The sequence below is a fragment of the Homo sapiens genome, chromosome 19, assembly GCF_000001405.40.
Source record: "Homo sapiens chromosome 19, GRCh38.p14 Primary Assembly".
Classification (NCBI taxonomy): Eukaryota; Metazoa; Chordata; class Mammalia; order Primates; family Hominidae; genus Homo; species Homo sapiens.
Window position 1 is genome coordinate 12,840,904 of NC_000019.10, and position 23,128 is coordinate 12,864,031.

The 23,128-nt window shown below is 48.8% G+C and overlaps 1 protein-coding gene and 1 non-coding gene across 2 annotated transcripts in view, besides 5 other annotated features; both read left to right on the top strand.

The window, feature by feature from the left end:
* Positions 1 to 23,128, top strand: part of MAST1 (microtubule associated serine/threonine kinase 1) — a 36,438-nt gene that overhangs the window by 2,389 nt on the left and 10,921 nt on the right. Inside the window, exons 3-12 of the mRNA NM_014975.3 lie at positions 88 to 163; positions 2,626 to 2,704; positions 6,387 to 6,547; positions 6,709 to 6,784; positions 6,945 to 7,154; positions 11,031 to 11,132; positions 11,212 to 11,344; positions 11,425 to 11,492; positions 17,459 to 17,538; positions 17,628 to 17,836. Of these exons, the coding sequence (NP_055790.1) occupies positions 88 to 163; positions 2,626 to 2,704; positions 6,387 to 6,547; positions 6,709 to 6,784; positions 6,945 to 7,154; positions 11,031 to 11,132; positions 11,212 to 11,344; positions 11,425 to 11,492; positions 17,459 to 17,538; positions 17,628 to 17,836 (1,194 nt within the window). The remainder of the gene's footprint in view (positions 1 to 87; positions 164 to 2,625; positions 2,705 to 6,386; positions 6,548 to 6,708; positions 6,785 to 6,944; positions 7,155 to 11,030; positions 11,133 to 11,211; positions 11,345 to 11,424; positions 11,493 to 17,458; positions 17,539 to 17,627; positions 17,837 to 23,128) is intronic.
* Positions 6,608 to 7,108: a transcriptional cis regulatory region, noted in NCBI's record as "genic|chr19:12958325-12958825 region (GRCh37/hg19 assembly coordinates) targeted for CRISPR interference". NCBI's record gives its function as "positively regulates expression of KLF1 and negatively regulates expression of PRDX2 in K562 cells {active_cell/tissue: K562}" and the evidence as "EXISTENCE:mutant phenotype evidence [ECO:0000015][PMID:31784727]".
* Positions 6,608 to 7,653: a biological region, named in NCBI's record as "CRISPRi-FlowFISH-validated KLF1 and PRDX2 regulatory element". NCBI's record gives its function as "regulatory_interactions: KLF1 | PRDX2".
* Positions 6,781 to 6,960: a silencer, noted in NCBI's record as "silent region_10179". NCBI's record gives its function as "represses an Ori minimal core promoter by ATAC-STARR-seq in GM12878 lymphoblastoid cells {active_cell/tissue: GM12878}" and the evidence as "EXISTENCE:reporter gene assay evidence [ECO:0000049][PMID:35858748]".
* Positions 6,830 to 7,653: an enhancer, noted in NCBI's record as "H3K4me1 hESC enhancer chr19:12958547-12959370 (GRCh37/hg19 assembly coordinates)". NCBI's record gives its function as "activates a minimal SCP1, AML or CMV promoter by ChIP-STARR-seq in primed H9 embryonic stem cells {active_cell/tissue: H9 hESC(primed)}" and the evidence as "EXISTENCE:reporter gene assay evidence [ECO:0000049][PMID:30033119]".
* Positions 11,286 to 11,786: an enhancer, noted in NCBI's record as "H3K4me1 hESC enhancer chr19:12963003-12963503 (GRCh37/hg19 assembly coordinates)". NCBI's record gives its function as "activates a minimal SCP1, AML or CMV promoter by ChIP-STARR-seq in primed H9 embryonic stem cells {active_cell/tissue: H9 hESC(primed)}" and the evidence as "EXISTENCE:reporter gene assay evidence [ECO:0000049][PMID:30033119]".
* On the top strand, positions 11,357 to 11,424 carry MIR6794 (microRNA 6794). The gene has a single exon (NR_106852.1). It is a non-coding gene; the product is annotated as a microRNA 6794 (primary transcript).

Consider the following 23,128-nt stretch of genomic DNA (forward strand, 5'->3'; position numbering starts at 1 on the left):
TAGACTAAAGACAGGACATGCTGCTGTTTGCACGCCGCTTTAGGGAACGAGAGACCTGACAGGATTTGCCCCCTCTTTCTCTCATAGGCAGCAGTCCCCTGGACAGCCCCCGAAACTTCTCCCCCAACACCCCCGCCCACTTCTCGTTTGCCTCCTCCCGAAGGTGAGTCCCTCCCCTCCAGGGCCCCAGAACCCTGGGCAGACCCTCCCCAACCACTGTCTGGGCCGCCATCTGTTCTCCTCCTAATTGCACCCGAGCTGGGGCCTGAGGGGACCAGCGAGTGCCCCAAGGTCTCAGCGGGAAGGAGCGCCTAGCCTTCGGGGCGGGGCCTATAAGAAGGCGGGGTCCAATCGCCGATCTGGAACGGGGAAGGCGGTGGGGCTCCCTTTGCGGCAGGTCGAAAGCGCGTGCGCCCTGGGCGCGGGGTCTTAGTCTCTCCGAGCCTTGCTCTCCTGGCCAGGTGTTTCCATAGCAACAGGACGGGGCAGCCAAGATGACGTGCGCAAGCGCAGATTGCGCGATGCCTATCGAGGGACTCTTGGTCCCCGAGGTGGGGGAGGACGACTAGGGCTGTTTCTCAAGGGGAGGAATCTCAGGTTTCTTTCCAAGGGTCTCTTAGGGTTTCTGGGGTGTCCTTAAATGAATTTTCTATGGGCCTTTGGTGAAACTGGGGGAGGCAGAGAGGTTTCTCTGATGTTTTCTGGAGAAACGTTTCTGGGAGTTTGGGCCTGTCTCTTTTTCTTTGAACTCTATTCATTCTAAAAATGGTGTCTAAACACCTGCTATGTTCTTAGGAGCTGGGCGTATGGGGTCAATGACGTCCTGTCTCTACCCTCTGAGTCGAATAGGGCAGGCAGGCCAGAGAATGGGGATCAGTGCAAAGGCTGATGAAGGCTGTGTTGTGAGAGTCAAAGGAGACTGTGAAGACAGACAGCTCCCTTGGGAAAGTGGGGGAACCGCCTATTGACCATGGAATTTAGCTGAGGGCAATAGAGAGCCAGGACAAGGCTCTGGGATAGGGTCTCACATGTTTATCCGCAAGCGGGGAGGACTGAGCGAGGGGACTGCTGGGAGGAAGAAGGAAGGGAGGAGTCCAATAAATGGGGTGTGTGTGTGTCCTTGTAACTGTGCAAAGTGTGCTGGTGTGTGTGTGTGATTGTCACTGTGTGAGGGATTACGTGCCTATGCAATGGCACGAGTCTGCGAATGTGAACGTGTGAACATGTGTCTGTAGGATTGTAAGTGTCTGTGAATATGTGAGAGGAGCAAGTCAGGTATGTCTCCAGGTGAGCGTGCAATCTGTGTGTGGGTGTAAGCGTGTGTGAGTGTGTGGCTGTGAGATAGTAAACACAGAGTCACAGTGTTTACTGTCTCTCTCTCTCTCTCTCTTTTTTTTTTCTTTTCTTGAGACAGAGTCTCGCTCTGTTGCCCAGGCTGGAGTGCAATGGCGGGATCTCGGCTCACTGCAATTTCCGCCTTCTGGGTTCAAGCGATTCTCCTGCCTCAGCTTCCCAAGTAGCTGGGATTACAGGCGCCTGCCACCACGCCCGGCTAATTTTTGTATTTTTAGTAGAGATGGGGTTTCACCAGGTTGGTCATGCTGGTCTCGAACTTCTGACCTCAGGTGATCCACCCGCCTCGGCCTCCCAAAATGCTAGGATTACAGGCATGAGCCACCGCGCCCGTCCAGTTTACTGTCTCACAGCCACACGCTTACACATGCACATGCTAATGTGTGTTGTGCACTCACATGAGCACGCGCCGATGTGTGTCCCTGTGTGTGTGCATCTGCGTGCGAGTGTGAATGAGTGTGTCGCTGTGTGCAAGTTTCAATGTGTGGTAGTGAGCGTGGGTGTCTGGAACGTGCATCTGTGTGAATGTGGAAGTGTGGAGTATGTTTGGGTGAGTCTGTGTGTCCGAGTGTGAGTACTGAGTGGAAGCACATGTGTCTATAGGTGAGTGCATGTCTGGTCTTGCACGCGTGATTGTGCATTAGTGTGTGAGAGTGTGATATTTGGGTCCATGGATGGGATAGTCAATACGTGTGGGTGTCTGTGTTGAGGAGTCATGTGTGAGTGTGTGTCTTCGTGTGTGTGAAGTGTAAATGTGTGCACTGCCAGTATGTGAGCCTGACCTGATAGTCACACCAACATTAATGGATTTGGCTGCAACAGTGACTGTGTCTGTGTGCACGAGAGCATAAGGACACAATATTCTATGTCAGAACATGTTGGGGGGTGGGACGGGTCTTTTTTCTCTGAGAAGATCCAAGGGTCTCCCTCAGAGCTTTCTCATGGAGAGTGTTCACTTGGGGGAAATTTCTAGAATCTCTCTGGAAAGGCTTCACTGGGTGGGGGCTTTTCCAGTTCTCGGTGTCCACTCTGAATGATAAGAGAGGGGACCGTGGGGAGGAGAGTGGAGACGGATCCTCCCTCCAATTCCCGGTGCCTGCCTGGAAGAGTCCCTCTTTATCCCCTTGATTCTGAGGGCCTTGAGGAATCTTAGAGTGCAGATATATTCCCCCAACCCCCACCCTGGCCCTGGCCAGTGGCTTCACCCACACCCTGAGGAGTTGGGGGACCGCTGGGGCCTTGTGGCCTCTGAGCACCTTGGCTGGGTTCCAGGGCGGACGGACGCCGGTGGTCTCTGGCCTCGCTCCCTTCATCTGGCTATGGCACCAACACGCCCAGTTCCACCGTCTCGGTGAGTGTGGAAAGTAGGTGGGTGGGCCGGTGGGTAAGGAATTCAGGGGCCCTCCAGCCTGAAGACCCACACCCAGGCCAGCAGTCCAGGCTGGGCTTGATGACAGTTTAGGGCCAGGCTCAGTGACTCAAGCCTGTAATCCCAGTACTTTGGGAGGCCAAGACAGAAGGATTGCTTGAGCCTAGGAGTTCAAGACCAGTCTGGGCAACATAGGGAGACCCTTGTCCCTACAAAAAATTAAAAATTATCTGGGCGTGGTGGTGCACACCTGTGGTCCCCACTATTTGGGAGGCTGAGACGGGAGGATCGCTGGAGTCTGGGAGGTATAGGCTACAGTTGAGCTGAGATCGCACTGCAGCATTCCAGTCTGGATGACAGAGTGAGACCCTGTCTCAAAAGAAAAAAGCAAAAAAAGACAGTTTGGGTTTCCCCATTCTTCAAAGGTGTTCACTTGTCCATCTATTAAAGAGTTATGGGTCCGCCCCACTCAGAGCCCAATGCTCTGCCCTCAACACATTTCTGGGAGGGTCCTTCCTACTCATTTCTGACTCACTCATTTACAGCTGGTGACATAAGGCTCTGTGAGTTAAGCCATTTACTCTGATATCAGCAGCTGGGCTGGGCCAGGCCACAGCTTTCACCCAGAGCCCACTTGCTCACCCCTTGGAACACCCAAAGTCCCTTCATCTGCTCCCTTTTCTATCCATGCCCATAGTTCCCTTATCCAGCCATTGGCATGATGTTCAGCAGACATTTGTCATGAGATTGTCATGTGGTAGGCGGGTTCTGCAAGCTGGGCCAGAGTGTAAATATTCACGCAGCCCTCATGGGGGAAGACAAGCCAGTAAGAAGGCATTCACAAAATAGAATGGTCAGAACTTTGATGCAAGTAGCACAAGGTGAGGTGATAGGGGAGAGGCATGTGACTCAGATTGGGGGGTTGTCAAGGAAGGCTTCCTGGAGGAGGTGACATTGAAACCAAGACAACAGACCAGCAGGAGTTTGGCAGATGGAAGAGAAGGGAGAAGAGTGTTCCAGGAAGGGGAAGAGCATGTGCAAACCTCTAGAGGCCACAGAACTTGCAGCATTTGAAAAGTTGAAAGTAGCTTTGTGGGGCTGAAAATTTGGGATGCGGGGGAGGAATAGAGATGATGCAGGCAGTGACCTTGATCAGGCTGGAACCTTGTCAGCCAGGGCAGCAAGGGAGATTTTATTCTAAATCCAGTGGGGAAGCCATGGAATGGTTTTATTTCTTTATATTAAATTGTACTAAAATTTCAGTTTGAACCATTTGAAATTGTGATTATGTAGGCTATAGATAATGCACACTAATTAAAAAAATAAAAGAGATGGATGGGGTGGGGAATTTTAACCAGAGGAGTGAGCAATGTGATGTTTAAAAATATCATTCTGGCCGGGCGCGGTGGCTCATGCCTATAATCCTAGCATTTTGGGAGGCTGAAGCGGGTGGATCATTTGAGGTCAGGAGTTCGAGACCAGCCTGGCCAACATGGTGAAACCCTGTCTCTAGTAAAAATACAAAAATGAGCCAGGCGTGGTCATGGATGCCTGTAATCCCAGCTACTCAGGAGGCTGAGGCAGGGAGAATTGCTTGAACCTGAGAACTGGAGGTTGCAGTGAGCCAAGACTGCACCACTGCACTCCAGCCTGGGTGAAAGCTATATGACCAGGCATGGTGGCTCACACCTGTATTCCCAACACTACGGGAGGTTGAGGTGGGAGGATTGCTTGAGCCCAGGAGTTTGAGACCAACCTGAGCAACGTGATGAAACCCTGTTTCTACAAAAAAAAAAAAAAAAAAAAAAATTAGCCAGGTGTGATGGCTTGTGCCTGAAGTCCCAGCTACTCAGGAGGCTGAGATGGAAAGATTGCTCGAGCCCAGGAGGTGGGGGTTGCAGTGAGTGGAGGTCGAGCCACTGCACTCCAGCCTGGGGGAGAGAGAAACACCCTGTCTCGAAATAAAAAAAAATAAAATAAAGCAAGAGGAGAGCCAGGCATAGTGGCTCATGCCTGTGACCCAGCAATTTTTTTTTTTTTTTTTTTTTGAGATGGAGTCTCACTCTGTCGCCCAGGCCTGGAGTGCAATGGCACCGTGCCGGCTCACTGCAACCTCCATCTCCTGGGTTCAAGCAATTCTCCTGCCTCAGCCTCCCGAGTAGCTGGGATTACAGGTGCCCACCACCATGCCTGGCTAATTTTTTTATATTTTTAGTAGAGACGGGGTTTCACCCTGTTGGCCAGGCTGGTCTAGAACTCCTGACCTCAGTTTTTCTGCCCGCCTCAGCCTCCCAAAGTGCTGGGATTACAGGCGTGAGCCACCGAGCCCTGCCCTCAGTCCCAGAACTTTGAGAGGCCAAAGTGGGAGTATTGCTTGAAGCCAGGAGTTGGAAGCCAGCCTGGGCAACATAGAGAGACCCTGTCTCTGCAAAAAAGAATTAGCCAAGCATGGTGTAGTCCCAGCTACACAGAAGGCAGAGGGGGGAAGATTACTTTAGCCCAGGAGTTCAAGGCTTCCGTGAGCCATGATTGTACTACATCCCTCTAGCCTGGGTGACACAAGGAGACCGTGTCTCTCTCTCTTTTTAACTTTAAATAATTTTAATAAATAGAGACACAGTTTCACTATGTTGCCCAGGCTGGTCTCAAACTCCTGGGCTCAAATGATCCTCCCGCCTTCGCCTCCCAAAGTGCTGAGATTACAGGTGTGAGTCACCATATTCAGTGGAGACCCTTCTCTAAAATAATAATGATAATAAAGCAAGAGGAAACAAGATAGAGTAGGGATAGGGAATAATGGGTGTGTATTCAGAGGAGGTCTTCCCGAGGGGTGACATTGAAGCAAAAATTTGAAGGATGAGAAGGAGGGATCCATAGTAGATGTGTTCCAAGCAGAAAGAATAGCTAATGCAAAGGCCCTGAGGAAGGAGCTTGCCTGGCTTGTCCAAGGACCATCAAGGAGGCCACTAGGCTGGGTGCGGTGGCTTGTGCCTGTAATCTCAGCACTTTGGGAGGCAGAGGCAGGTGGATCACCTGATGTCAGGAGTTCAAGACCAGCCTGGCCAACATGGTAAAACACTGTCTCTACTAAAAATACAAAAAATTAGCCAGGCGTGGTGACAGGCACCTGTAATCCCAGCTACTTAGGAGGCTGAGTCAGGAGAATCGCTTGAACGCGGGAGGCGGAGGTTGCAGTGAGCTGAGATCACACTCCAAACTAGGCAACAAGAACGAAACTCCATCTCAAAAAAAAAAAAAAAAAAAAAAAAGAAGGCCACTGTAGCTGGAGCAGAGGAAGTAAGCAGGAGAGTGAGAAAAATCCACGGCAGGGACCCAGGGCAGGATGAGGCAGGACCTTGTATAACTGGGGAAGGACTTGGGTGTTCACCCTGAGTAAGGTGGGAGCCACCAAGGGTTCTGAACAGAGGAGGCTCATGACTTGACCCAAGCTTTAACAGACTCACTGTCTCCACCCCTGTCTGTCCCTGTCCACCTGTCTGTGGCCAAGAGTCCCAGCCAAGATCCTAGGATCCAAGGATCGTAAATCAGGTCCTGATCCTGGCCTTGCCCAGTGACCCCATCGGCTTTGGGAGTCCCAGCTCAGGGTCCTGAGCTGTTGGGGGGCCCATGGTGGCTCTGACCCCGGCCCTGCCCCTGTCCCCAGTCCTCCTGCTCCTCCCAGGAGCGCCTTCACCAGCTGCCCTACCAGCCCACGGTGGACGAGCTCCACTTCCTCTCCAAACACTTCGGGAGCACCGAGAGCATCACAGACGAGGATGGTGGCCGTCGCTCCCCAGCCGTGCGGCCCCGCTCACGGAGCCTCAGGTGGGCAGGCATCCCTCCTCCTTCGTACCAAGCTAGTGGTCTTAGGACTTGTGCTTAGAGAGACCCCTGTCCCCGCGAATAAAAGGGTTACATCTTGGGGCGGGGGCTCTCTGCGGGCTTGGAGGCAGAGGACTCGACAAAATGGGCTTCTCTCCCCGCAGCCCCGGGCGCTCCCCCTCCTCCTACGACAACGAGATCGTGATGATGAATCACGTCTACAAGGAGAGGTTCCCGAAGGTGAGGTGGGACCCGAGGCGGTCACGGGGTGACCAGGCGGCCTGCACTCTCGCTCGCCTTATCCCCGCGCGCCCCCTGGCGGCCTCGGTGCGCAGCGCAGGCTCCTGGCGGCCGCAGCCTTCGGGCACAGCCCCGCGCCCCTCCTCCGTCCCTCCCGCAGGCCACTGCGCAGATGGAGGAGAAGCTGCGCGACTTTACCCGCGCCTACGAACCCGACAGCGTTCTGCCTCTGGCCGATGGCGTGCTCAGCTTCATCCACCACCAGATCATCGAGCTGGCCCGGGACTGCCTGACCAAGTCCCGTGACGGCCTCATCACCACGGTCTACTTCTATGAATTGCAGGAGAACCTGGAGAAGCTCCTTCAAGACGTGAGTGCACGCGGAGGCCGGGCTGATCTCAGGCTCAGCACCGCCAGATTGTGCCCAATGCACCCCTTTCTTCACCCCACATACATTCAGGGAGCTCCTACCACGTTCCAGGCACTGGCGTGGAGCTGAGGACTCAGGGGTGGAAGTGGTCCCTTCCCTAGGTCTGACCGACTGAAGAGGCAGGAATTTCACCTCGCTCATTTCCCTTAGGTCTTTACTCAAATGTCACCTTTTCAGGTGGCTTCTTAGGCGGTCCCCAGTCATTTAAAATATTAAACTCGGCCGGGCTCGGTGGCTCAGGCCTGTAATCCCAGCACTTTGGGAGGCCGAGGGGGGCGGATCACGAGGTCAAGAGATCGAGACCATCCTGGCTAACACGGTGACACCCCGTCTCTACTAAAAACACACACACACACAAAATTAGCCGGGCGTGGTGGCGGACGCCTGTAGTCCCAGCTACTCGGGAGGCTGAGGCAGGAGAATGGCGTAAACCCGGGAGGCGGAGCTTGCAGTGAGCCGAGATTGCGCCGCTGTACTCCAGCCTGGGCGACAGAGCGAGACTCCGTCTCAAAAAATAATAATAGTAAATAAAATAAAATAAAATAAAATATTAAACTTAGCCGGGTGCGGTGGCTCAGGCCTGTAATCCCAGCACTCTGGGAGGCTGAGGCAAGTGGATCACCTGAGGTCAGGAGTTCGAGACCAGCCTGGCCAACATGGCGAAACCCCGTCTCTACTAAAAATACAAAAATTAGCTGGGCGTGGTGGTGGGCGCCTGTAATCCCAACTACTTGGGAGGCAGAGGCGGGAGAATCGCTTGAACCTGGGAGTCGGAGGTTGCGGTGAGCCGAGATCACACCATTGCACTCCAGTCTGAGCAACAAGAGTGAAACTCTGTCTCAAAAATAAATAAATAAATGAAATAAAATAAAATATTAAACTCTACTCACATTTATCACCCACTTTCTCCTCAGTTTCTCCTTGACACTCAGCACCATCCATCATACTGTGTATTTTTGCTTATTTTATTTCATGTCTATCCTTCTCCAATGTCAGCCCCATAGTTGGTGAGGGTGGGGGGGTGGAGTTGTCTGTTCTGTCCACTGCTGTGTCCCTGCTGTTTGGAACAATACCCAGCACACAGTAGGTACTCAATAAATGTTGGGTAAATTGATGCTTGAATGTCCCTTTGCAGTGGCATGCACCTGTAGTCCCAGCTAGCTACTTAGGAGGCTGAGATGGGAGGATTGCTTGAGGTCAGGAGCTTGAGACCAGCTTGGGCAACATAGCAGGACCCCATCTCTAAAACAATTTAAAAAATTTAAGCCAGGCGAGGTTGCTCACGCCTTTAATCCCAGCACTTTGGGAGGCTGAGGCGAGCAGATCACGAGGTCAGGAGTTTGAAACCAGCCTGGCCAATAAGGTGAAACTCTGTCTTTACTAAAAATACAAAAAAGTTAGCCGGGCTTGGTGGCACGTGCCTGTAATCCCAGCTACTCAGGAGGCTGAAGCAGGAGAATCGCTTGAATCCGGGAGGCAGTGGTTGCAGTGAGCCGAGGTTGCGCCACTGCACTCCAGCCTGGGCAACAGAGTGAGATTCTGTCTCAAAAAAAATAAAAATAAAAATAAAAATAATTAGCTAGGTGTAGTGGCACACACCTGCTGTCCCAGCTACTTGAGAGGCTGAGGCAGGAGGATCACTTGATCATTCATTAATTCCACCAATATTTATTTATTTATTTATTTTATTTTTTTTGGAGACAGAGTCTCACTCTATCCCACTGGGCTGGAGTGCAGTGGTGCGATTTTGGCTCACTGCAACCTCCACCTCTCAGGTTCAAGCCATTCTCCTGCCTCAGCCTCCCGAGTAGCTGGGATCACAGGCACCCACCACCATGCCTGGCTAATTTTTGTATTTTTAGTCGAGGCAGGGTTTCACCATGTTGGCCAGGCTGGTCTCTAACTCCTGACCTTAGGTGATCCACCTGCCTCTGCCTCCCAAAGTGCTGGGATTACAGGTGTGAGCCACCATGCCTGGCCCCCACCAATATTTATTAAGCACCTACTATGGGCCTGGCACTAGCCTAAAAGCTGGGAAATCAACTGGAAATAAAACAAAAATTCTTGTCTTTGGAGAGCTGACATTCTATTAATAGCAGGAAGAGACAGAAGATAAACAATAGGCGTTAGAAGCTAACCCCTGTAATCCCAGCACTTTGGGGAGCTGAGACAGGAGGCTTTCTGGAGCCCAGGAGTTGCAGACCAGCCTGGGTAACATAGCGAGACCCTGTCTCTACAGTAAAACAAGTCAAACAAACAAAGACCCAATAGGTATTAGGGCTGAGACCAGGACCAGGGTAAAGCAAGTAATTATTTCTTCCCCCAGAACATTAAATTAATTTTTGAAAAACTTGAAAAGTAGATAAATGAAAACCCAACATTATTTTAAGTTTACATATTTTATTTATAACCAAGCCAGAATGTGTTATAATTTTACTGTCCTGGTTTTAATGAAAGCAAACTCATCAATAATACTATTTTCATTGAAACCATTAGACATTTTCAAAGACACATTAAAACACATATAGGTTGGTGCATACTTTTTTTTGGCTCAAGTTACAATATGGCTAGGCACAGCCTGTTGGATTCTGTCTTTATTTAATTTTCTTTTTCTTTTTCTTTTTCATTTGAGATGGAGGACTCTCTATGTTGCCCAGGGTGGTCTTGAACTCCTGGGCTCAAGCAATCCTCCTGCCTCAGCCTCCTGAGTAGCTGGGATTATAGGCATGTACCACCACATCTGGCTTAAATTTTGATATTTTGGCTTATGATAGATTTTTGGCATTAATTTTAGGCTTTTCAAGTATTGCAATAAGATATTAGTTTTTTCTTTTCTTTTTTTTTTTTTTTGAGACAGTCTCACTCTGCTACCCAGGCTGGAGTGTAGTGATGTGATCTCGGCTCACTGCAACCTCCACCTCCCTGGTTCAAGCGATTCTCTTGCCTCAGCCTCCCAAGTAGCTGGCATTACAAGTGTGTGGCACTATACCCAGCTAATTTTTGTACTTCCAGTAGAGATGGGGTTTTGCCATGTTGGGCAGGCTGGTCTCAAACCCCTGACCTCAAGTAATTCACCCTCCTCTGCCTCCCAAAATGCTGGGATTACAGGCGTGAGCCACTGTGCCCGGCCTCTTTTTCTTTTCTTTTTTTCTTTTTTTTTTTTTGAGACAGGGTCTCTCTCTCTGTCACCCAGGCAGGAGTGCAGTGGTATAATCAGCTCACTGCAGCCTTAGCCCCCTGGGCTCAAGTAATTCTCCCACTTCAGCCTCCCAGGTAGCTAGGACTACAGGCACACACTACCACACCTGGCTAATTTTATTATTTGTAGAGACAGGGTCTCGCTATGGTTTTGTTGTTTGTTTGTTTGTTTGTCATTGCTTTTGTTTTGAGACAGAGTCTCGCTGTGTCACCCAGGCTGGAGTGCAGTGGTGTGATCTTGGCTCACTGCAACTTCTGCCTCCCAGGTTCAAGGGATTCTCCTGCTTCAGCCTCCCAAGTAGCTGGGATTACAGGCACCTGCCACCACGCCTGGCTCATTTTGCGTTTTTAGTGGAGATGGGGTTTCACCATGTTGGCCAGGCTGGTTTCAAACTTTTGACCTCAAGTGATCCACCCACCTCAGCCTCCCAAAGTGCTGGGATTACAGGCATGAGCCACCGTGCCCAGCCTCATTATTTTTACTGTGTGGCTTGGGCTTCAGTCTCCTCACCTGTAAGATGGGACAGTAGCAGCAGTATGTACTCTGAGGGGCTGAGAGAGGGGCCGGGCTGAGGCAGAGTGCCTATGAGCCCTGTCCCTCTGTGTCCCCTGCCACAGGCCTATGAACGCTCTGAGAGCTTGGAGGTGGCCTTCGTTACTCAGCTGGTGAAGAAGTTGCTTATTATCATCTCACGCCCTGCGAGGCTGCTGGAGTGCCTGGTGAGGGGGCTGGGCATGGGTAGGGGTGGGTTGGTAGACCCTGGGAGCCTGTGGTGAGCCCACTCCTGCCCTGCCTCAGGAATTCAACCCCGAGGAGTTCTACCACCTGCTGGAGGCGGCCGAAGGACACGCCAAGGAGGGCCACCTTGTGAAGACGGACATCCCCCGCTACATCATCCGCCAGCTGGGCCTCACCCGTGACCCCTTTCCAGGTGCCGGCTGGTGGGCGCAGGGGGACTGGGGGTGAGCAGGCCCAGAACCCAGCTCGTGCTCACTCTCAGTCCCTCCCTAGATGTGGTGCATCTGGAGGAACAGGACAGTGGTGGTTCCAACACCCCTGAGCAAGACGATCTCTCTGAGGTAAGGCTGGGTGGCTAAGCGGTCAGTACCCTGGTTCCTGGGAGGGCAGGGTGGGGCTCATCTCCGGCTTCTTTGCCCTCAGGCTTTGTGGATCTCTTGGTCCTACACTCTGAGCCTCAGTTTTCCCATCCATAAAATGGGATTAATAATAGCTCTTCCAGAGCCTGGCATGCTGGCTCATGCCTGTAATCCCAGCACTTTGGGAGGCCAAGGTGGGCAGATCACCTGAGGTCGGGAGTTCGAGACCAGCCTAACCAACATGGAGAAACCCCGTTTCTACTTAAAAAAAAAAAAAATGCAAAAATTAGCCAAGCCTGGTGGCACATGCCTCTAATCCCAGCTACTTGTGAGGCTGAGGCAGAAGAATCACTTGAATCCAGGAGGCAGAGATTGCTGTGAACTGAGATTACACCACTGCACTCCAGCCTGGGCAACAAGAGCGAAACTGTCTCAAAAAATAAAATAAAATAAAATAAAATAATTGCTCTTCCCCTGTGACCTCTTTGTCATGTTAAAATCCATGAAACATAAAATTTAATTTACTTTTTTAACCATTTTATTTTATTTTTATTTATTTATTTATTTATTTTTTGAGATGGAGTTTTGCTCTTGTTGCCCAGGCTGGAGTGCAATGGCACTATCTCAGCTCACCACAACCTCCATCTCCTGGGTTCAAGCAATTCTCCTGCCTCAGCCTCCCGAGTAGCTGGGATTACAGGCATGTAACACCACACCCGGCTAATTTTGTATTTTTAGTAGAGACTAAAATTTCTCCATGTTGGTCAGGCTGGTTGCAAACTCCCAATCTCAGTTGATCTGCCCATCTCGGCCTCCCAAAGTGCTGGGATTACAGGCATGAGCCACCGCGCCCGGCCTTTTTAACCATTTTAAAATGAACAATTCGGGGCCGGGTGCAGTGGCTTAGGCCTGTAATCCCAGCACTTTGGGAGGCCAAGGCAGGAGGATTGTTTGTGCTAAGGCATTTGAGACCAGCCTGGGCAGCATAAAAAATCAGCTGGGCGTGGTGGTGCACCCCTGTAGTCCCAGCTACTCGGGAGGCTGAGGTGGGAGGATCCTATGAGCCCAGGAAGTCAAGGCTTCAGTAAGCCATGATCACACCACTGCACTCCAGCCTGGGCAACAGGGTGAGACCCTGTCTTGAAAAATGAAATTAAAAATAATAAAGAATAGGCCAGGTGCAATGGCTTATGCATGTAATCCTAGTACTTTGGGAGGCCAAGATGGGTGGATCACTTGAGGTCAGGAATTCGAAACCAGCCTGGCCAACATGGTGAAACCCCATTTCCACTAAAAATACAAAAAAATTAGTTGGGCGTGGTGGCACATGCCTGTAATCCCAGCTACTTGGAAGGCTGAGGCAGGAGAATTGCTTGAACCCGGGAGGTGGAGGTTGGTGTGAGCCAAGATCCCACCACTGCACTCCAGCCTGGGCAACAGAGCGAGACTCTGTCTCAAAATAATAATAATAATAATAATAATAATAATAATAATAATGATTAATAGTAATAAATAAACAATTCTGCAGCATTTAGTAATTCACCATGCTGTACAGCCATTAGATCTATGTAGTTGCAGAACTTTTTTATCACCCCCAAAGGGAAACCTCACACCCATTACACACTCCCTCCTCATTCCTCCCTCCCTGCAGTCCCTGGCAACCACTAATCTATTTTCTCTCTCTGTGGAATTGCTTTTTCTGGATATTTCTTTTTTTTTTTTTTTTTGAGACAGAATTTCACTCTTGTTGCCCAGGCTGGAGTGCAATGGCGTGATCTCGGCTCACTGCAACCTCCGCCTCCCAGGTTCAAGCAATTCTCCTCCCTCAGCCTCCTGAGTAGCTGGGATTATAGGCATGCGCCACCACACCTGGCTAATTTTGTATTTTTAGTAAAGACAGGGTTTCACCATGTTGGTCAGGCTGGTCTCGAACTCCTGACCTCAGGTGATCTGCCTGCCTTGGCCTCCCAAAGTGCTGCGATTACAGGCGTGAGCCACATGCCTGGCCTTTTTCTGGATATTTCCTATAAATGGGATCGTATGCTCTGTGGCCTCTTATGACTGGCTTATTTCACTTAACATAACGTTTCTGAGGTTTATCCATGTTGTAGCTTGTGTCACTGCTTCATTCATTTTTATAGCCGAGTAATATTCCATTGAATGGTAGATGCATTCATCCACTGGTGAACATTGGGTTGTCCATCTTTCATCTGTTGTAAATAGTGCTCTTATGAATGTGGGTGTACAAATATTTGGCTGGACAACTGCTTTGAGTTATTTAGGATATACGTCTAGAGGTGGAATTTCTTGGTCATATGGTAGCTCTATGTTTAACTTATAGAGGAATCCTGCATGGGCTTTCGAGCAAGCTAACTGGCTGTATGTGTTAATGGCAGCTCAGCATGGGGAAAATTGCCAATTCTATTCCCAGGCCAGCCACACTTTGGCAGATGTTCCAGATGTCTAGTGGAGAGTCCTACCCCAATGGCCACACATGTGTTTTCTCTGAACTGCCTAGTATTTTTCAAAAATTTGGGCTGGGCCTGATGGCTCACGGCTGTAATCCCAGCACTTTGAGAGACTGCGGCGGGTGGATCACTTGAGGTCAGGAAGTCGAGACCAGCCTGGCCAACATGGTGAAACCCTGTCTCTACTAAAAAAATACATAAAATTAGCCAGGTGTGGTGGTGCCCACCCGTAATCCCAGCTACTTGGGAGGCTGAGGCAGGAGAACTGCTGGAACCAGGGAGACAAAGATTGCAGTGAGCCGATATCAAACCACTGCACTCCAGCCTGGGTGAGAGAGTGAGACTCCATCTTGAAAAAAATAAAAATAGATAAATAAAAGAAGCAAAATATAAAAATTGAAAGATTTTTGCTTCAAAATCTGGGTTTGGGCCTTCTCTTGAAAAATCAGAAGTTCTAGGGCTGGGTGTAGTGGCTCATGCCTGTAGTCCCAGCACTTTGGGAAGCCAAGGTGGCAGGATTGCTTGAGCCCAGGAGTTTGAAACCAGTCTGGACAACATAGCAAGACCCTGTCTCTACTTAAAAAAAAATAGAAGAAGAAGAAGTTCTAATAATACTGTGGTGGAACCAGCTGAGTGGGGGTGGTCCTGTGATATTGGGTACCTGCCCCTTCGTCATCCATGGCCTCCACCCTGGTCTACTGGCCCCTGAAGACGCTTAAGTTTGTAATCTTTATTTCAAATTGTGTCTATACAGTCACACAGATATATACACATACCTTTCCTTTATGTATATATTTAAAAGGAATCTCACAATATATGCCATTTGTTTAATTTTTTGAATAGGTAATGGAATGACATCACTCAAAATCTAAAACTCTAAAAAAAGGTATTTATCTCTCATTGTTTGTAGGATTCTGTTATTCCTTTTAATCAAACTTGTTAATTGAGTGATTCAAATCTTCCATCTCCCTATTCATTTATCTTGCCTGATTAATCTAATAGTTTCTGAGAGAAATGTGAAACCTTATTTTAAGCAAATTCTCCTTGTAATTCTGTCAATTTTTTTTTTTTTTTTGCCATTTTGGTTTTTATTTGATTATAGGTAAGAGTTCCATACAATAGTGTGCGAAGTATTGCAAACAATAAAGGAAAAATACAGCATAAGATACCTCTTACACTCTGCCCAATTCTGTCAATTTTTATGTCAGATATTTTTAGGCTACATTCTTTGGAGCATATAAGTTCAATATTTTTATATATCATAGATCTTTTTATGTAATATCTATGTAATAAATCTCTTTGTCCCTAAGAAAAATCAAAATAATTTTCAAGAAAGATATACAGTGAAAAAAATCTTACTCCTACCTTTTTTCCCCATTGCCCTATAGCCCTGAAATATGATTACATAGTTTTATTTTGCCACTTTTTTTTTTTTTTTTAGACAAAGTTCCACTCTTGTTGCCCAGGCTGGAGTGCAACAGTGTGATCTCGGCTCACTGCAACCTCTGCTTCCTGGGTTCAAGTGGTTCTCCTGCTTCAGCCTTCCAAGCAGCTGGGATTATAGGCAACCACCACCACGCCTGGCTAAGTTTTTGTATTTTTAATAGAGACAGGGTTTCACCATGTTGGCCAGGCTGGTCTCGAACTCCTGACCTTCAGGTGATCCACTTGCCTTGGCCTCCCAAAGTGCTGGGATTGCAGGTGTGAGCCACCACACCTGGCCTTTGCCACATTTTTTTGCACATAAACGTACAATACATATTGCCTATTGCATTTTTACACTTAATAAAATAGAGGACTTTCTAAATCCATAGACAGAGAGTTTCCTCATTATTTCTAACAGTGGCACAATGTTTCTTTATCTAACTACCCCACATGTGTTTGTTTGGCTAATTTAACGTATGGATTATTATTTCCAATCTCACAATGAGCAAGATAGTAGATATACCATTTTTCACATGTGCAAGTATATCTGTAGCATAAATTCAAAAGTAAAATTGCTGAGTCAAAGGGAACATGTATTTGTAATTCTGATCTGTATCAAACAGTAATTTACACTCCCAACAGCAAAGTATATATGTTCACCTACATATTTGCCCATAGAGGATATCAGGTTTTGGAGTTTTTTCTCCCAATCTGCTAGGTGAAAAATGGTATTTTGTGGTAGTTATAATTTGCCTTTCTGTTATTGTAAGTGAGATTGAGAATTTTTTTTTTTTGAGATGGAGTTTTGCTCTTGTTGCCCAGGCTGGAGTGCAATGCCACGATCTCGGCTCACCACAACCTCTGCCTCCTGGGTTCAAGCGATTCTCCTGCCTCAGCCTCCTGAGTAGCTGGGATTACAGGCATGTGCCATCATGCCCAGCTGATTTTGTATTTTTAGTATAGATGGGGTTTCTCCATGTTGGCCAGGCTTGTCTCGAGCTCCTGACCTCAGGTGATCCACCAGCCTCAGCCTCCCAGGTGATCCGCCCGCCTTGGCCTCCCAAAGTGCTGGGGTTACAAGCGTAAGCCACTGCACCTGGCCAAGAATCTTTTTTTTTTTTTTGAGACAGAGTCTCGCTCTGTCACCCAGGCTGAAGTGCAGTGGCATGATCTCTGCTCACTGCAAGCTCTGCCTCCCGGGTTCACGCCATTCTCCTGCCTCAGCCTCCCAAGTAGCTGGGACTACATGTGCCCGCCACCATGCCTGGCTAATTGTTTCGTATTTTCAGTAGAGATGGGGTTTCACAGTGTTAGCCAGGATGGTCTCGATCTCCTGACCGCATGATCCGCCCACCTTGGCCTTCCAAAGTGCTGTGATTACAGGCGTGAGCCACCGCTCCAGGCCCGAATCTTTTAGTATGTTTAAGAGCTGTAACTCTGGCTGGGTACAGTGGCTCATGCCTGTAGTCCCTACTCTTTGGGAGGCCAAGGCAGGCAGATTGCTTCAGCCTAGGAGTTCAAGAGCAGCCTGGGCAAGATGGCAAAACCAAAATACTAAAATTAGCCTGGCATGGTGGCATGTGCCTGTGGTCCCAGCTACCTGGGAGGCTGAGGCAGGAGAATCACTTGAGCCCTAGAGGTGGAGGCTGCAGTGAGCACCACTACACTCCAGTCTGAATATCAGAGTGAGAACCTATCTCAAAAAAAAAAAAAAAAAAAAAAAAAAAAAAAGCTCTAACTGTAATTTACTTACCTCACCCACTTTTTTCTCTTCAATTGTTAGGCTTTTGTTATTGATTTTTGGGAACTCTTTATATATTTATATATTAGGATGACTATTTTGTTGGTTTCCTGCTATCTTTTCTAGTGGAAGAAGATGAGAATATGTCTTCAGAGTCAGTCTTGGGTTCAAGTCCTAACTTTCTCTTTCATTATGGCACTTGGATGAAGGACTCTTTCATTCTGTGCCTCAGTTTCCCCATGTGTAAAATGAAATTAAAAGCATCCTGCTCTCATGATGATGATGGTGGTGTGGTCTCCATCTTTTTCCTGAAGGGCCGCAGCAGCAAGGCCAAGAAACCGCCGGGGGAGAATGACTTCGATACCATCAAGCTCATAAGCAACGGTGCCTACGGGTGAGCCACCCGGGGCTCTGGCGGGGGGAGGGTGGCGGAGGCCGGGTGTCTCGGAGGTGACGGCCGGTCCTCGCTCTCTCCCCCTGCAGCGCTGTCTACCTGGTGCGGCACCGCGACACGCGGCAGCGCTTTGCCATGAAAAAGATCAACAAGCAGAACTTGATCCTCCGCAACCAGATCCAGCAGGCCTTTGTGGAGCGCGATATCCTCACCTTCGCCGAGAACCCGTTTGTGGTCGGCATGTTCTGCTCCTTTGAGACTCGGCGCCACCTCTGCATGGTCATGGAATATGTGGAAGGTGTGGCTGCCTGCGGGGCTGCAGGGAAGATGGGGCCGTGCTCACTGGTCAGGGCTGCGGGGTGGCCTGCCTGAGCCGCAGTCTCCATATTGATTAGTCGGCCTGTATGTTTATCCATCTATTTATTTCTCCAGTCATTGATTTGTCCATCCATTCTACCTATATATTTATTCAGTCATCTATTGGTTTATTTGTTTTTCATTTCATTCAGCATAAAAACATTCAGTCTGACCCATTATCCATCCATCTATCCTTCTATCTACTGATGTGCTAATCCATCTGTTTTTCCATCCATACATCCATGAACCTGTTTTTATTTATTTATTTATTTATTCATTTATTCATTTATTTATTTTTTGAGACAGAGTCTTGCTCTGTCACCCAGGCTGCAGTGCAGTGGTGCAATCTCGGTTCACTGCAACCTCCGACTCCCAGGCTCAAGCGATTCTTATGCCTCAGCCTCCCGAGTAGCTGGGATTATGGGCCTGTGCCACCATTCATGGGTAATTTTTCTATTTTTAGCAGAGACAGGATTTCGCCATGTTTGCCAGGCTAGTCTTGAACTCCTGACCTTAAGTGATCTGCCTGCCTGGGCCTCCCAAAGTGCTGGGATTACAGGCATGAGCCACTGTGCCAGGCCTATTTTATTTTATTTATTTATTTTTGAGACAAGATCTCACTCTGTTGCTCAGGCTGGAATGTAGTGGTGCGATCACAGCTCACTGCAGCCTCAAATGCCTGGGCTCAATCAATTCTCCCACCTCAGCCTCCCAAATACCTGGGATTATAGGTGCGGACCACCACACTCGGCTAATTTTTGGGAGGCCAAGGTGGGGAGATCACAAGGTCAGGGGTTCAAGACCAGCCTGGCCAACATGGTGAAACCCTGACTCTACCAAAAATACAAAAATTAGCCAGATGGCACACTCCTATAATCCCAGCTACTCACGTGGCTGAAGTGGGAGGATTGTTTAAACACAGGAAGCAGAGGTTGCAGTAAGCCGAGATCGTGCTGCTGCACTCCAGGCTAGGCTGAGATCATGCCATTGCACTCCAGCCCTGGCAACTGAGCAAGACCCTGTCCCGCAAAAAAAAAAAAAAAAAAGTTTTTTGTTTTTTGTTTTTTTTTGTTCGTTTGTTTTGTTTTTTATGCAGTCTCCCTGTATTGCCCAAGTTAGTCTCCAACTCCTGGGCTCAAGCAACCGTCCTGCCTCAGCCTTCCAAAGTCCTGGGATTACAGGCACGAGCCACCGAGCCCATCCCATATACCTGTTTATTAATCCACCTTTCCATCCATCCCTCACATCCCGCAATTTGTCTTTGTGGTTGTCCATCTGTTTATCCATCCGTATGTCTGTTTACCATTATACACCTATTTTTCTTTTTTTTGGGGGGGACGGCGTCTTGCTCTGTCTCCCAGGCTGGAGTGCAGTGGCGCAATCTCAGCTCACTGCAAGCTCCACCTCCTAGGTTCACACCATTCTCCTGCCTCAGCCTCCTGAGTAGCTGGGATTACAGGTGCCCGCCACCATGCCCGACTAATTTTTTTTGTATTTTTAGTAGAGACGGGGTTTCACCGTGTTGGCCAGGATGGTCTCGATCTCTTGACCTCATGATCCGCCCACCTCGGCCTCCCAAAGTGCTGTGATTACAGGCGTGAACCACCACACCCGGCTTATACACCTATTTTTCCTTTTTCTTTCTTTCTTTTTTTTTTTTTTTTTGAGACAGAGTCTTGCTCTGTCACCAGGCTCGAATGCAGTGGCGCTATCTCGGCTCACTGTAACCTCCACCTTCCAGGTTCAAGTGATTCTCCTGCCTGAGCCTCCCGAGTAGCTGGGATTACAGGTGTGTGCCACCACACCTGGCTAATTTTTTGTATTTTTAGTAGAAATAGGGTTTTCACCATGTTGGCCAGGCTGGTCTCGAACTCCTGACCTCAGGTGATCCTCCCACCTCAGCCTCCCAAAGTGCTGGGATTACAGGCGTGAGCCATAGCTTGCGGCCCATATATTGTTTTTAATCCATCCGTGCATGTATTCACCCAAATGTTAATCCATCTATTGTCCAAAACCACACATGCTGTGGCTATTATGACACATACATGATCCCTGGGGCCTCAGCTGTGCCTCCTCCAAGCCTTCCAGTCAACCATCCAGTCACTCAACGAACACCTCCTCATCATCTCCCTCGTGTCACATGCTGTGCTAGGTGCCAGTGACACAGAGGAGACCCAGGCACAGACATCTCCCCGCCATGGAGATTCCATTCTGGTCTGTATAGACAGACAATAAACAAGCAGAGCAAGCCAAAGAGATAAGGACATTTATTTATTTATTTATTTATGGAGTCTCGCTCTTTCACCCAGGCTGGAGTGCCGTGGCGCAATCTTGGTGCACAGCAACCTCCATCTCCCAGGCTCAAGGATTCTCATGCCTCAGCCTCCTGAGTAGCTGGGACTAAAGGCGCGCCTCCACCATGCCCAGCTGATTTTTGTATTTTTAGTAGAGACAGGGGTTTCACCAGGTTGGCCAGGCTGGTCTTGAACTCCTGACCTCAGGTGATCAGCCCACCTTGGCCTCCCAAAGTGCTGGGATTACAGGCATGAGCCACCATGCCCAGCCAGGGCATTTCATAGTGAGGACATGAGGTCCATGAGGCTGGAGGAGGTGATGGGGAGGCAGGCAGGGAGCTTCTCAGAGGCCTGGATTATGATGGAATAAGTGACCTGCTAGTACAAAGTCTCTTAGGTGACAATTTAGATTTGGAGGAGTGGCAAGCAGGCCCATGGAGCCGAAGGCAAGTGAGCAAGGGAGGGGAGATGAGGATGAAGGGGCGCTGATGAGGAGGGTATTCCAGAGACTGGAATGGCATTGGATTTCATTCTGAATGCAACAGAAGGTCACTGGAGCATTGTTGTTTTTTTCTTTTTCTTTTTCTCTCTTTCTTTCTTTCTTTCTTTCTTTCTTTCTTTCTTTTTTGAGATAGAGTCTCGTTCTGTTGCCCAGGCTGGAGTGCAGTGGCGCATCCTCGGCTCACTGCAACCTCCGCCTCCCGGGTTCAAGCGATTCTCCTGCCTCAACCTCCTGAGTAGCTGGGATTACAGGTGCCCGCCACCACGCCCACCTAATTTCTGTATTTTTAGTAGAGATGGGGTTTCATCATGTTGGTCAGGCTGGTCTCAAACTCCACACCTCATGATCTGTCTGCCTCGGCCTCCCAAAGTGCTGGGATTACAGGAGTGAGCCACCGTGCCTGCCTTTTTTTTTTTTTTTTTTTGAAATGGAGTCTCACTCACGCTGTCACCCAGGCTAGAGTGCAATGGGGTGATCTCGGATTACTGCAGCCTCCGTCTCCAAGGTTCAAGTGATTCTCCTGCCTCAGTCTCCCGAGTAGCTAGGATTACAGGCGTGTGCCACCACATCTGGCAAATTTTTGTACTTTTAGTAGAGACGGATTTTCACCATGTTGGCCAGGCTGGTCTCGAATTCCTAGCCTTAAATGATCCATCAGTCTCGGCCTCCCGAAGTATGGGGATTACAGGCGTGAATCACTGCGCCCAGCCTTGTTTTGTTTTATTTTTAGTGCATTGTCCAGGCTGGAGTGCAGTGGTGTGATCACAGCTTACTGCAGCCTTGAACTCCTGGGCTCAAGCAATCCTCCCACCTCAGCCTCCAAAAGTAGCTGAAACTACAGGCAGGCACCACCATGTCCAGCTAATGGAGGGTTTTAAGAAGATTTGATATGATCAGATTTATGTTTTAAGAAAATCCATTTGGAGGCCCATTATAGTAGCTTACGACTGTAATCCCAGCACTTACAGTGGGAGACCAAGGCAGGCAGAACACTTGTGGTCAAGAGTCCAAGATCAACCTACCCAGCATGGTGAAACCCTGTTGTTGTTGTTTTTTTCTTTTCCTTTTTTTTTTTTTTTTTGAGACAGAGTTTCGCTCTGGCTAAACTCGTTGCCCAGGCTAGAGTGCAATGACGTGATCTTGGCTCACCGCAACCTCCTCCTCCCGGGTTCAAGCGATTCTCCTGCCTCAGCTTCTTGAGTAGCTGGAATTATAGGTATGCACCACCACACCTGGCTATTTTTGTATTTTTAGTAGAGATGGGGTTTCTCCATGTCAGCCAGGCTGGTCTCGAACTCCCAACCTCAGGTGATGTGCCTGCCTCGGCTTCCCAAAGTGTTGGGATTACAGGCGTGAGCCACTGTGCCCGGCCAATGAAACCCTGTTTCTACTAAAATTACAAAAATTAGCCAGGAGTGGCGGTGCACGCCTATCATCCCAGCTACTCGGGAGGCTGAGGAACAAGAATCTCTTGAACCCGGGGGCGGTGAGTGGGCAGAGGTTGCAGTGAGCCGAGATGGAGCCACTGCACTCTAGCCTGGGTGACAGAGCCAGACTCTGACTCAAAAAAAAAAAAAAAAAAAAAAAGAGAAAAAGAAAAAAATTAAGAAAAGATAATCCATTTGGCTCTTGTGGAGAGAGCAGAATCAGGAGACTAGGAGGTAGATGACTGCTCTAGTCCAGGTTCATTGCAGAGGAGGAGGAGAGAAGGGGGCCAAATCAGTATCTCTATGGTGGGTCTGTGTGCACAATAGATGTGCTCAAATGCAGATTCCTGGGCCCCACCCTCAGAGAGTTTCTGAAACCAGCAAAATCTCGCAGAAAAGAGAACAGAAAAAAGAAAGAAATCATTAGCTTTCTTGGTCATTGGTGATTGAAAAACCAATATTACCTTCAGGAATGGCTGGATGTAGGTGCTCAAACCATTCCATCAGGAAACTCTCCATCTCTTGGCTCTGTACTCCCACATGTGGGCTTCCTTCTAGACAAGCCCTCATGTAGCAAGGTTGCCATCTAGCAGATCTCAGCTTACATTCTATGAGCTTAGCAATTCTTACAGGAAAAGAGTGAAAATTCCAAGGGCTAACTCACTGGAGCAACTTGGGTTACATACTGCCCCGGTTGCTGCACATGGAAGGAAATCTAGCCTTTGTAGGATAAAAAGGAAATAGATATTGAGAAACTGAAATACCAATGCCAATTACAGTAAATCTGGCAGAGGGGCAGAGGCAGTGGCCAACACTTTGGGAAGCTGAGGCAGGAGGATCCTTTGAACCCAAGAGTTGGAGACCAGCTTGGGCAACACAATGAAACTCGTTTCTACAAAAAACTTTTTTTTTTTTTTTTTTGAGACGGAGTCTTGCTCTGTCACCCAGGCTGGACTGCAGTGGTGCGATCTTGGATCTCTGCAACCTCTGCCTCCCAGGTTCAAGCCATT